Source organism: Homo sapiens, chromosome 1 (genome assembly GCF_000001405.40).
Source record: "Homo sapiens chromosome 1, GRCh38.p14 Primary Assembly".
NCBI lineage: Eukaryota > Metazoa > Chordata > Mammalia > Primates > Hominidae > Homo > Homo sapiens.
Window position 1 is genome coordinate 28,637,133 of NC_000001.11, and position 12,681 is coordinate 28,649,813.

Here is a 12,681-nt window from a genome sequence, read left to right on the forward strand (position 1 = left end):
GGAGGCTGATGAGAGTTACTGTGGAAAACCCAAATCAAGAGGGCTGGATGCCATCTTTGGTCAGTTTCCACATCTGTAATTAGGAGTTGGCCCAGGCAAATTCTTTTTTTCTTTTTCTCTTTTTTGAGACAGAGTTTTGCTCTGTCACCCAGGCTCGAGCGCAGTGGCACGATCTTGGTTCACTGCAACCTCCGCCTCTGGCCAGACCAGGCAAATTCTAAAGTCCCTTTCAGCATTAAAAATCAGTGTAAAGGCCAGGTACAGTGGCTCACGCCTGTAATCCTAGAACTTTGGGAGGCCGAGGCAGGCGGATCACGAGGTCAGGAGTTCAAGACCAGCCTGACCAATATGGTGAAACCCTGTCTCTACTAAAAATACAAAAAATAGCCGGGCATTGTGGCGCGCGCTTATAGTCCCAGCTACTCGGGAGGCTGAGGTAGGAGAAGTGCTTGAACCCGTGAGGCGGAGGTTGCAGTGAGCCGAGATCACACCACTGCACTCCAGCCTGGGCGACAGAGCAAGACTCCGTCTCCAGAAAAAAGATTTTCTTTTTTTTATTTTTGCTCTCTTTACCCTCCCTGTCTGACTTAAATTAAGTCCATACACAGAAATTTCAAAGTCTGTCTGCCTCCAACACACCTGTTTCACAGTGCAGCCTGTAAACATTGCTGATATAGTGCCTACAAAATATTTTAGGGCTTTCCATAAAGAATCCCAACCAAAAGTAGTATGTCTTCGCCAGGTGTCATGGTTCATGCCTACAATCCCAGCACTTCGGGAGGCAGATGTAGGAGGATCACTTGCTGATAGGAGTTTAAGACCAGCCTGGGTAATGCAGTGAGACCCCATTCCTATTTTTTGTTTAATTATTATTATTATTTTTTTGGAGATGGAGTCTCGCTCTGTCGCTCAGGCTGGAGTGCAGTGGCACAATCTCGGCTCACTGCAACCTCTGCCTCCTGGGTTCAAGTGATTCTCCTGCCTCAGCCTCCTGAGTAGCTGGGATTACAGGCGTCTGCCACCACATCCAGCTAATTTTTGTATTTTATTTTATTTTATTTTATTTTATTTTTTGAGACAGAGTCTCACTCTTGTCACCCAGGCTGGAGTGCAAAGGGGCAATCTCAGTTCACCACAACCTCCGCCTCTCAGGTTCAAAGGATTCTCCTGCCTCAGCCTCCCGAGTAGCTGTGATTACAGGCATGCATCACCACGCCCAGCTAATTTTGTATTTTTAGTAGAGATGGGGTTTCTCCATGTTGGTCAGGCTGGTCTCGAACTCCCAACCTCAGGTGATCCGCCCACCTCGGCCTCCCAAAGTGCTGGGATTACAGGCATAAGCCACCGCGCCCGGCCTAATTTTTTTTTTTTTTTTTGAGACAGAGTCTCACTCTGTCACCCAGGCTGGAGTGGCGCAATATCGGCTCACTGCAGCCTCTGCCTCCCGGGTTCCAGCGATTGTCCTGCCTTAGCCTCCCAGGTAGCCGGGATTATAAGCACACGCCACTATGTCCAGCTGATTTTTATATTTTTAGTAGAGACGGGGTTTTACCATGTTGGCCAGGCTGGTCTCGAACTCCTGACCTCAGGTGATCTGCCCACATCAGCCTCCCAAAGTGCTAGGATTACAGGCATGAGCCACCTCACCTGGCCTATTTTTTTTTTTTTTTTTTTTTTGAGACAGAGCCTTGCTCTGTCACCCGGGCTGCAGTGCAGTGGCACAATCTCTGCTCACTGCAAGCTCCACCTCCCGGGTTCACGCCATTCTCCTGCCTCAGCCTCCCAAGTAGCTGCGACTATAGGCGCCCGTGCCCAGCTAATTTTTTTTGTATTGTTAGTAGAGACGGGGTTTCACCGTGGTCTCGATCTCCTGACCTCGTGATCCGCCCACCTCGGCCTCCCAAAGTGCTGGGATTACCGGCGTGAGCCACCACGCCCGGCTGGCCTATTTTAATTTTTTAAGACAGAATCTTGCTCTATTGCCCAGGCTGGAGTGCAGTGGTGTGATCTCGGCTCACTGCAACTTCCACCTCCCACCTTCTGGGAGGCCGAGGCAGGCAGATCATCTGAGGTCAGGAGTTCGAGACAAGCCTGGCCAACATGGTGAAACCCGTCTCTACTAAAAATACAAAAATTAGCCAGGCATGGTGGCGCATGCCTGTAATCCCAGCTACATGGGAGGCTGAGGCAGGAGAATCGCTTGAACCCGGGAGGTGAAAGTTGGAGTGAGCCAAGATTGCACCACTGCTCTCCAGCCTGGGTAACAAGAGTGAAAGAGCGAAACTCCGTCTCACAAAAAAAAAAAAAAAGGTAATATGTCCTTTTGTCCTTTGTTCCTATCGGCTCTAATTATAATGCAATGATTTTCTGATCGGGTATTTTGAAGTCCTATTATAATAAGTCAACGCTAGAGCCACAAATGAAATGAAGTACATTTTGCAAGTATAGGTAAGGATGTTAACTCAGGAATAAATTATCATTAATTAAACCATCAAGTACTTTGAAGTGGTGACATGGGCATCGGTATGCTTTCCCTTATAAGTTGGTATAAGTTAGTTTTGATCATTTATATATAATAGGCGCTTGCAAATAGTACAGGCTAACCCTGGGGAAAAAATAGTAGTTTTAACTAAGCCCAATTCCCCCAAACATCTAGTTCATGATATAATTAACTGGAAAATCAATCAAATTTAAGCCCTTGTTTTTCAAATTACTTTTTTTTTTTTTCAGACAGAGTCTCATTCTGTTGTCCAGGCTGGAGTACAGTGACACAATCTCGGCTCATTGAACCTCCACCTCCAGGATTCAAGTGATTCTCTCCCACCTCAGCCTCCAGAGTAGCTGGGACTACAGGCATGTGCCACCATGCCCAGCTAATTTTTGTATGTTTAGTAGAGACGGGGTTTTGCCATGTTGGCCAGGCGGGTCTCGAACTCCTGATCTCAGGTGACCCGCCCGCCTTGGCCTCCCAAAGTGCTGGGATTACAGGTGTGAGCCATCATGCCCAGTCCAAATTAGTCTTTCTTGGCCTCCTAAATCTAAAATTAAATGTCTTTCTACATTGCAAGGAAAAGCTCTACAAAGTTCCCGTTTTTCTATCTTGAATAATCTATGCTTCTGTGAAAACAGAATTTAGTTCTCAAATGCCACAATACATAAGTACCCTAATATGTTATAGTCCTTGACATTTAGAGGAGCCTTAAGAAGGAGGAGATGCTTTCATTCAATTATATGTTTTGTATAACGATTACTTCTATTTTGCTGATGGACAAACTGAGAGGAATCCACTTAGAAGAGTAGAAAAAAGTTTTAGAGGCACATGTAACTGGGGTTGGGTCACTGTGTGATTTCAGGCAAAGTAACCTCTCTAAACCTATTTCATTATCTGTACAACGGGACTGACAATATCTAACTTGTGGGGCTGTGATAATTAAATCATAGAATACTCGATAGTGCATAAGCTGTGCCTCGTTAGTCTGAGTAGGTTTCAGAAAAAGATATTAATATTGAAGGAAGTGACTGGTGCAAGTCTCCCCACCATCCTTATCCAAAAGCAGCCATCCCTAGTAAATGTTTGCACTAAAAATACAGGACACACTTATTTATGACTTTCCAAACAGCTTATTAAATAAATAAATAACACTGAGCTTTATTTAAAGGTTCCAGCCAGGTGCAGTGGCTCATGCCTATAAGAACATTTTGGGAGGCCAAGGCGGGAGAATCATTTGAGGCCAAGAATTCAACAGCAGCCTAGGCAACACAGCCAAACACTGTCTCTACAAAAAAACTTAAAAATTAGCTGGGTGTAGTGGCTCATACCTGCAGTCCCAGGAGGCTGAGGCAGGAGGAGTGCTTGAGCCCAAGAATATAGGTTGCAGTGAACTATGATTATGCCACTGCACTCCAATATGGGCAACAGAACAGGACCCTGTCTCAAAAACACAAAAATAAAAATAAAGGTTTCCTTACTATTAAGTGACATTTACTGTATTAATGTCAATACAGTAACAACACTCAAATTATCAGAAACTGTAAAAATTTCCAGTTTTTACTGGAAATAAAAACTGGGCCGGGCGCAGTGGCTCATTTCTATAATCCCAGCACTTCGGGAGGCTGAGGCGGGCGGATCACTTGAGATCAGGAGTTCGAAACACAGCCTGGCCAACATGGCAAAAACCTGTCTCTACTAAAAATACAAAAAGTAGCCGGGCATTGTGGCACACACCTGTAATTCCAGCTACTTGAGAGGCTGAGGCAGGAGAATCGTTTGAACTGGGGAAGCAGAGATTGCAGTGAGCCGAGATCGTGCCACTGCACTCCAGCCTGGGTGACTCTGTCTCAAAAAAACAAAACAAAACAAAACAAAAACAAAAACTGCAAGGGGGGTGAGGTGACTCATGCCTGTAATCCCAGCACTTTGGGAGGCCAAGGTGGGAGGATCACTTGAGCTTAGGAGTTTGAGACCAGCCTGGGCAATATAGTGAGACCCTGTTTCTACAAAAAATTTAAAAATTAGCAGGGCGTGGTGGCACACGCCCGTAGTTCCAGCTACTCAGGAGGTATAGGTGGGAAGACTGCTTGAGCCTAGGAGGTTGGAGGTGCACGGGGCCAAGACTGAGCCGCTGCACTTCAGACTGGGCGACAGAGAGAGAACCTGTCTCAAAAAAAAAAAAAAAAAAAAAATTCCCTCCTGAGTTTGAAGATAAAGCAAAGATTCTAGAAGCATTTAAGGAACATTAACCAAGCATCTCATTTGCTACGCACAGAAGGGTACTGTATTAAAATTATGATCTAACTAACCATTGCCTCACTGTAATCCTAAGCCTCTTTGAACCTTAGCCTTCTTAAATGTAAAATAGGAGTTTTTAAAAGATGATCTTTTGGGACTCTTCCATCACTGACATTCTTTTATTTGAGATGCAGAGATCTGTGCTCATTCAGGGTTGAGTGGAATGGGATTTAAAGCACTTATCAAGTACATAACTGAGTTCCAACTGTTTTCAACTTCACATCTGATTCCCAAGAATGAAGCAGAAAATGAAGATGTTTGCATATGGGCTTCCTAGATTGAGTATCTGACACAAGAAAAGCTTGCCAAGAGCCAAGTAGGCAGTGCGAAGGAGAAGTTGTCTTCCCCTGAATACGTCCTTTATCTCTCTGGGTTCAGGGAATACTGTGAAAAAATGGATCACTAAATCTTTTCCAAACCCTTTCCCTTTACTTTGTAGGCTGATCTCATATCCATGGTCCCTTAGATCCAAGGCTTTTAGGAGCTTGGGTACTCACAGCCCTGTTCCGAGACTCAGGAACTCGGAGTCTCAAAGCCCGGATCCCGTCCCCAAAGAAGCCCCAGTCTTCACTGCCCGCTTCTGTTCCCTTCCAAACTCAAGTTTTCTCTGTCTGCTTCTGCCCCTCAGGAACCTAAGTCTTCGCTGCCCCGTTTCTGAATCCTTAGGAGCCCGGGTCTTCACTGTCCCGCTTCTGCCTCTTAGGAGCCCAAGTCCTCACCGCTCCACTTTTACCTCTCCGGAGCCTGTGTCTTCACGCCCCGTTCCTTTCTGACCCTTTCCTCGTAGGAGTGCGGGTCCTCATAATCCTGCTCCTCTCAGACCACTTTCCCTCAGATGCCGGAGAACTCGCATCCGTCCCCGTTCCCTAAGTCCCGTCTTAGAGCCCGGGTCCCCACAGCCGCGTCTTCTCCGAGCCTGATCCTCTCAGTCAGTCCCTTCCCAAGAGCCTGAATCCTCACAGCCCCGTCTCGTCCACAACCTGGTCCTTCGAACACTGACCCACTGTAGGTCTGGGTCCTGACTCCCTCCTCCCGCTCTTGTTCCTCAACTGCCAGGGCCCAAGACTCACAGGCAGCAGCGTCTATCTCCCCATGATATGCAGAGACTGCCCCAGTGAAGCGTTCGTCTCAGCAGCCGGTCCGACTGCGCGGCCCTCCCCGACTACTTCCGGCACCGCTCCCCGCCTCCAACCCGGAAACGCGCGGCTCTTCCGGCCGGCGGGCGCGCGCCTCGCTTGCGCAGGCGCAGACTGCCCTCCGACACGTGGTGGCGATATTGAGCTGTGTGTAGGTACACCCTGCAGCTTGCGCTTTTAACTGCTTGTGGTTGAGTGGCAGCATGAGCGAGCTCTGCGTATTCCAACCCGGCGTTAAGAATCCTTCACTAGCTTTTCTTCCCGACGCTGCTTATTTATCTATCGGTAGCATGACGGGTAATTGACGCCCTCGGATGGCTTTGAGGTCGCCATTTTTGGTTGGTGCCTTTGTCTTGGTGTCAGGACTGGGATATCATCTGGGACACATTACCCCACAGGTATCCTGTTGGACCTCAACGAGGAAGTTGGCAACAGAGGAACCAGGAGATGAGAGAGATCGGTTGGTTGTGCCTGTGAACTGGCAATTCAGTAGTAACAATTGAGTGCTTACTGTTTGCCGGGAATTGTGCTAATCCGCTTACCTCCGTTACGCCATTTAATCATTTAGAGGAGACCTGTGAGAGATTAAGCAAAGTTCTAGCTAATAAGTGCAGAGCCTCAGCTTGAACTCAGAACTCACTACTAAGCCAAAGCCTGTCCTGTAGCATTCTCTAATGCTTTCAGTTTTTCGGCTGTCAGATGCTTGGTGAGAACTGCTGTTATGTGGCTCACGCCTGTAATCCCAGCACTTTGGGAGGCCGAGGAGGGTGGATCACGAGGTCAAGAGTTCAAGACCAGTCTGGCCAAGATGGTGAAACCCCGTCTCTACTAAAAATACAAAAAATTAGCCGGGCGTGGTGGCATGCGCCTGTAATCGCAGCTACTCCGGAGGCTGACGCAGAGAACTGCTTAAACCTGGAGGGGCGGAGGTTGCAGTGAGCCGAGATCGCGCCACTGCACTCCAGCCTGGGCGACAGAGCGAGACTCTGTCTCAAAAAAAAAAAAAAGAGAACAGCTGTTATTTTTTACTGTATGCTGGAATGTTAGGCATGCAAGTAAGACCCAATTCCAGCATCTGTAAGGTTCACAGTAAGATGGAGAAGAACCCACAAACACACCAAAAATTGTATAAAGAGCTGTGACAGGCCAGAGTGAGCCACATAGAAATTAGGAAGAGGTGCCCAGATTGGTGCGGCATCCTGCCCTGTCTTTATATCTTCCTAATCCTCATCCTACCACGTTCCCAGTCCACCCTCTACACTGCCACCCAATCCAAATTCTCAGATTCAAGTCCTCATGAACATTGGGCTCTAAGCTGTATTCCTAGCCTTATTTCCTTGCCACTGCTCTCCATTCTTTTTAGGGTCCGGCATACCACTTTTTGTTGTTGAATGCCTATACATCTTTTTTAAGACCCAGGTTGAATGTATATACGTTCATTTGACAAGTGTTTGAGTCTCATTGTGTGACAAGCCTTTTGCTATGTGCTGAGTACATAACTGGTGGCTAAGACGGATGATCTCTGTCCTTAGAAAGTTTGCAACCTAGAGTGGGAAACAGACCATTAGCAACTGCACAAAAGGGTGATAGAAGAGAATACTGGAATAAGCCAGACTTATCTAGCTGGCTGATGGCCTGAGCCATGGTCTTCAGTAAGGAAAACACTTACTCAAGGACCAAGATGGCCAAGGTGGCTGGAGCTTTGGTAACCGGGAAAGACAATGAGTTTGGAGAGGTAGGCAGGGGTTTGTTATAGTCTGGACCTTTTAGCCTAGACTATGATGGGGACTTGAGATTATATTCAGTATGCAATGGGAAGGTGTTGGAAGAACGGTGAAATTATGGCGATTGTTAAATGATACAGGGTCTCACTCTGTCACCAGGGCTAGAGTGCAGTGGCACAATCATAGTTCACTACAGCCTCAAACTCCTGTGTTCAAGCGATCCTCCTCCACCTCAGCTTCCCAAGTAGATGAATTTTCTTTTTTTTTTTTTTGAGACGGAGTCTCGCTGTTTCACCCAGGCCGGACTGCAGTGGAGCTATCTCGGCTCACTGCAAGTTCCGCCTCCCAGGTTCATGCCATTCTCCTGCCTCAGCCTCCCAAGTAGCTGGGACTACAGGCGCCCGCCACCGCGCCCGGCTAATTTTTTGTATTTTTAGTAGAGATGGGGTTTCACCATGTTAGCCAGGATGGTCTCGATCTCCTGACCTCGTGATCCGCCTGCCTTGGCCTCCCAAAATGCTGGGATTACAGGCAGGAGCCACTGCGCCCGGCCTCTTCTTTTTTTTTTTTTTCTTTAAGAGATAAGGACTGGACACCCTGGCTCACGCCTGTAATCCCAGCACTTTGGGAGGCTGAGGCAGGAGGATCACGAGGTCAGGAGATAGAGATCATCCTGGCCAAAATAGTGAAACCCTATCTCTACTAAAAATACAAAAATTAGCTGGGCGTGGTGGTGCACGCCTGTGACCCCAGCTACTCAGGAGGCTGCGGAAGGAGAATCGCTGGAACCCGGGAGGTGGAGGTTGCAGTGAGCGGAGATTGAGCCAGTGCACTCCAGCCTGCGTGACGGGAGCAAGACTCCATCTCAAACAAAACTACAACAACAACAAAAAAACAGATAAGGCCAGGCCAGGCACTGTGGCTCACGCCTGTAATCCCAGCATTTTGGGAGGCCGAGGCAGGTGGATCACTTGAGGTTAGGAGTTTGAGACCAGCCTGGCCAACAGGGTGAAACCTACTAAAAATATTTTAAAAATTAGCCGGGTGTAGTGGCGCGTGCCTGTAGTCCCAAGCTACTCAGGAGGCTGAGGCATGAGAATCGCTTAAACCTGGGTGGTAGAGGTTGAAGCGAGCCGAGATCGTGCCACTGCACTCCAACCTGGGCAACAGAGTGAGACTGTCTGGGAAAAAAAAAAAAAAGAGAGATAAGGTCAGATGTGGTGGCTTTACACCTGTAATCCCAACACTTTGGGAGGCGCAGCAGGAGGACTGCTTGAGCCCAGGAGTTTGACCGGCCTGGGCAAGATAGGGAGACACTGTCTCTAAAAAAAAAAAAAAAAAATTAGCCTCAGCATGGTGGTGTGTACCTGTAGTCCCAGCCACTCAGGAGACTGACAGGCAGGAGGATCTGCTTGAGCCTAGGAGTTCCAGGCTGCAGTGAGCTATGATTGCACCACTGCATTCCAGCCTGGACAACAGAGCAACACACTGTCTCAGGAAAAAAGACAGAGAGAGAGATAACACTGGTGGATGATAGGAAGAGCAATTGACAGCACCATCTCTGGGCTTCTCACAAGTTTATACAACACATCTGCTTCCTATTACAATGTAAGAGCTGTTTATTTATCTCCTTTCTCTTGTGACTTCTACTTTGTAAAGAGCAGGGAACTCCATGTATTATTAAAATATATTAAAGAAAGTAAAATACCTAACAGTCTATATTTTGTGTTGAAAACATTTTACTTTATTATTTATTTATTTTTTTTTGAGACGGAGTTCGCTCTTGTTGCCCAAGCTGGAGTGCAATGGCACAGTCTCGGCTCGCTGCAACCTCTGCCTCCCAGGTTCAAGTGATTCTCCTGCCTCAGCTCCCTAGTAGCTAGGATTACAGGCACCTGCCACCACACTCGGCCAATTTTTTTTTTTTTTTTTTTTGAGACAGAGTCTCACTCTGTCGCCCAGGCTGGAGTGCAGTGGTGCAATCTCGGCTCACCGCAAGCTCCACCTCCTGGGTTCACGCCATTCTCCTGCCTCAGCCTCCCGAGTAGCTGGGACTACAGGCACCCGCCACCACACCCGGCTAATTTTTTGTATTTTTAGTAGAGACGGGGTTTCACCGTGTTAGCCAGGATGGTCTCGATCTTCTGACCTAGTGATCTGCCCACCTCGGCCTCTCAAAGTGCTGGGATTACAGGCGTGAGCCACCGCACCCGGCCAATTTTTTGTATTTTTAATAGAGACAGGGTTTCACCATGTTGGCCAGGCTGGTCTCAAACTCCTGATCTTAGGTGATCCACCCACCTCAGCTTCCCAAAGTGCTGGGATTACAGGCATGAGCCACCATGCCTGGCCTGAAAACATTTATTTTTATATATATACGATGTGTACATACATAGAAAGCAGTCTGGCAAGATAAACACTAAACTGTTCACAGTTTGGAGGAAGCATTTTCACATTTTATAACATCTCTGTGCTGTTTCAATTTCTTTACAATTGTCACATATTGTTTTTTTTTTATTTTCTTGAGACAAGATCTTCATCTGTCACCTAGGCTGGAGTGCAGTGGCATGATTATGGCTCACTGTAGCCTTGACTTCCCTGGCTCAAGCAATCCTTCTGCCTCAGCCTTTGGGGTAGCTGGGACCACAGGCCCATGCCACGATGCCCAGTTAATATTTTATTTTGGGGTAGGGACGAGGTCTCTATATGTTGCCCATTGTGGTCTCAAACTCCTGGGCTCTCAAAGTGTTGGGATTACAGGCATGACCCACAGCACCCGTCCATCATTATCCATAAAAAAAATGGGAACAGGCCGGGCACGGTGGCTCACGCCTATAATCCCAGCACTCTGGGAGGCTGAGGCGGGCGGATCACAAAGTCAGGAGATCGAGACCATCCTGGCTAACATGGTGAAACCCCCGTCTCTACTAAAAATACAAAAAATTAGCCGGGCATGGTGGCAGGGGCCTGTAGTCCTAGCTACTTGGGAGGCTGAGGCAGGAGAATGGCGTGAACCCAGGAGGTGGAGCTTGCGGTGAGCCGATATCGCGCCACTGCACTGCAGCCTGGGCGACAGAGCGAGACTCCGTCTCAAAAAAAAAAAAATTGTGTTGATAAAGATCTACTTCAGTCATCTGAGGTACAGTATTTCATTTTTCACATTAATGCTATGCTGTACCTTATTCTACAACTCTTTTCACTCGATTTAAAAAAAAAAAATTCTAATACTCCTTCGAAGTGCAGCATATAGCATGCCACAATATGAACACACCATGACAATCAGCTTATGCGTGACCTTGTGACCTTGTGCTTCCACTGCACGCCTGCCTGGGCTGCTCCAAGGTGGTGGCTAGGGGTGGCACAAGTTACACATTTTCAATTTGGATAGGTTGTGATTCTTGTCTTCCCCAGTCAGATACCTACAGCCGCTGAGAGCCGGTATTCCAACGCCATGAGACGCCTTCTGTCGTGAGCAGTTGACAAGAAAGACCCAGCACTTACTGCAACCGGAAGGAGCGGTTCCTCCCTCGCTCGCGCAGCCGCTCTTCCCCGCCACTCCCTCGGTGCCCGCCAGCACATTCCCAGCAAGCCCTGAGTATATTTGCATATCAACTCACTACATTTTTTTCTTCTAACTAAAAAATCGAAAGGACAAATTCCAGATTCTCCTTGTGAAGTCTTCCTTTCAGTTCAGAAGAAATGGAATTCGCTCTTCAACTTCAGGAAGTTGAAATAAAGAGTTGCTTGGATTTTGTGTTCACCTTTACCAAAAAATGGATTTGGTAACACTGCCACCCTGCTTTGGTGACAGAGAAAGCAAAAAGGGCTTCTGTCGTGAGTGGCACACGTAGGGCAACTCGATTGCTCTGCGTGCGGAATCGACATCAAGAGATTTCGGAAGCATAATTTTTTGGTATTTGGGCAGCTGGTGATCGTTGGTCCCGGCGCCCTTTCTTTACTGTTATATGTTAGGCGAAATATTACGCGTTTGGAGTAAGTGGTGCTTTTTGTAACTGAAAAGAGATTCTGTGTGTGTTTTTTTTTTTTTTTAGAGGCTGCATAGTTATTTGTATGAACCGCAGGTGACCTAATTAGCAAGGTAATTCAGACCTGTATCCTAGCACTTAAGAAGTGGAAGTGGGATAACCCTGCGTGTTCTCGTGTGGGAGGCTAGCTTAAGCAACAAAGCAGGAAGGCCCCACCAACAAAAGAATTTAAAAATTATACGTGCGTGGTGGCGCGCGTATGAGGAAATTATTTGGCAACTGTGTTACAGTATAGCAGCAAATGGAATAGACCTAGTCCCTGACTTTAGGAGACCTGCCTCAGCCCCCCGAATGGCTGGGACTACAGGCGTGCGCCTCCGCGCCCAGCTAATTTTTGCATTTTTGGTAGAGACGGGTTCACCATGTTGGCCAGGATGGTCTCCATCTCTTCATCTGGTGATCCGCCCACCTCGGCCTCTAGGAGTGCTAGGATTACAGGCGTGGCCATCGCGCCCGGCCTGCAATGTTATTTTATGAAGCAGAGGAAATTGAAATTACCTTCACCAGGCCTTAGCAAACTTTTTCTATACCTTATACCATACACAAAAGATTAATTCAAGGCCGGGCGCAGTGGCTCACGCCTGTAATCCCAGCACTCCTAGAGGCCGAGGTGGGCGGATCACCTGAAGTCGGGATTTCAAGACCAGCCTGACCAACATGGAGAAACCCCTTCTCTAACTAAAAATACAAAATTAGCCAGGCGTGGTGGAGTATGCCTGTAATCCCAGTTACTCAGGAGGCTGAGGCAGGAGAATTGCTTGAACCCAGGAGGCGGAGGTTGCAGTGAGCCGAGACCGCACCATTGCACTCCAGCCTGGGCAACAAGAGCAAAACTCCGTCTCAAAAAAAAAAAAAAAAAAAAGATTAAAGACCTAAATGTAAGACCTTAAACTATAAAACTCTTAGAGAAAACACAGGGGAAAATGACATCGAATTTGTCAGTGATTTCTTGGATATAAACAATGGTTTACAAGCAACAAAAAATA

At 47.4% G+C, this 12,681-nt stretch overlaps 1 protein-coding gene, 1 long non-coding RNA gene and 1 other non-coding gene across 8 annotated transcripts in view, besides 2 other annotated features; 2 read left to right on the forward strand and 1 right to left on the reverse strand.

The window, feature by feature from the left end:
- The window catches only part of TAF12 (TATA-box binding protein associated factor 12), a 45,420-nt gene extending 34,283 nt beyond the window's left edge, over positions 1-11,137 (reverse strand). For 2 of the 5 annotated variants that reach the window (NM_005644.4, NM_001410769.1), the window contains exon 1: positions 5,860-5,935. Coding sequence is in view for 1 of the 5 variants with exons in the window: in XM_017002186.2 (XP_016857675.2) it covers positions 11,073-11,102 (30 nt within the window). In the remaining 4 variants the exon portion in view is untranslated. Of the gene's footprint in view, positions 1-5,522; positions 5,936-11,072 lie in introns of those variants that run through there. The other 3 variants (XM_017002186.2, XM_024449368.2, NM_001135218.2) reach the window with 3 other exon arrangements.
- Positions 6,124-11,669, forward strand: TAF12-DT (TAF12 divergent transcript). Of its 2 annotated transcripts, none has more exons than NR_146730.1 (2): positions 6,124-6,631; positions 11,061-11,669. It is a non-coding gene; the product is annotated as a TAF12 divergent transcript (long non-coding RNA). The 2 variants fall into 2 exon arrangements; NR_146731.1 differs by having other exon boundaries at positions 6,124-6,385; positions 11,065-11,398.
- Positions 7,485-7,779: a silencer, noted in NCBI's record as "tiled region #12118; HepG2 Repressive non-DNase unmatched - State 3:PromF, and K562 Repressive DNase matched - State 5:Enh". NCBI's record gives its function as "represses a minimal TATA promoter and a strong SV40 promoter by Sharpr-MPRA in HepG2 and K562 cells {active_cell/tissue: HepG2 | K562}" and the evidence as "EXISTENCE:reporter gene assay evidence [ECO:0000049][PMID:27701403]".
- Positions 7,987-8,486: an enhancer, noted in NCBI's record as "H3K4me1 hESC enhancer chr1:28971631-28972130 (GRCh37/hg19 assembly coordinates)". NCBI's record gives its function as "activates a minimal SCP1, AML or CMV promoter by ChIP-STARR-seq in naive H9 embryonic stem cells {active_cell/tissue: H9 hESC(naive)}" and the evidence as "EXISTENCE:reporter gene assay evidence [ECO:0000049][PMID:30033119]".
- On the forward strand, positions 11,468-11,602 carry RNU11 (RNA, U11 small nuclear). Its single transcript, NR_004407.1, has one exon. It is a non-coding gene; the product is annotated as an RNA, U11 small nuclear (small nuclear RNA).
- Positions 11,670-12,681: the final 1,012 nt, after the last annotated feature.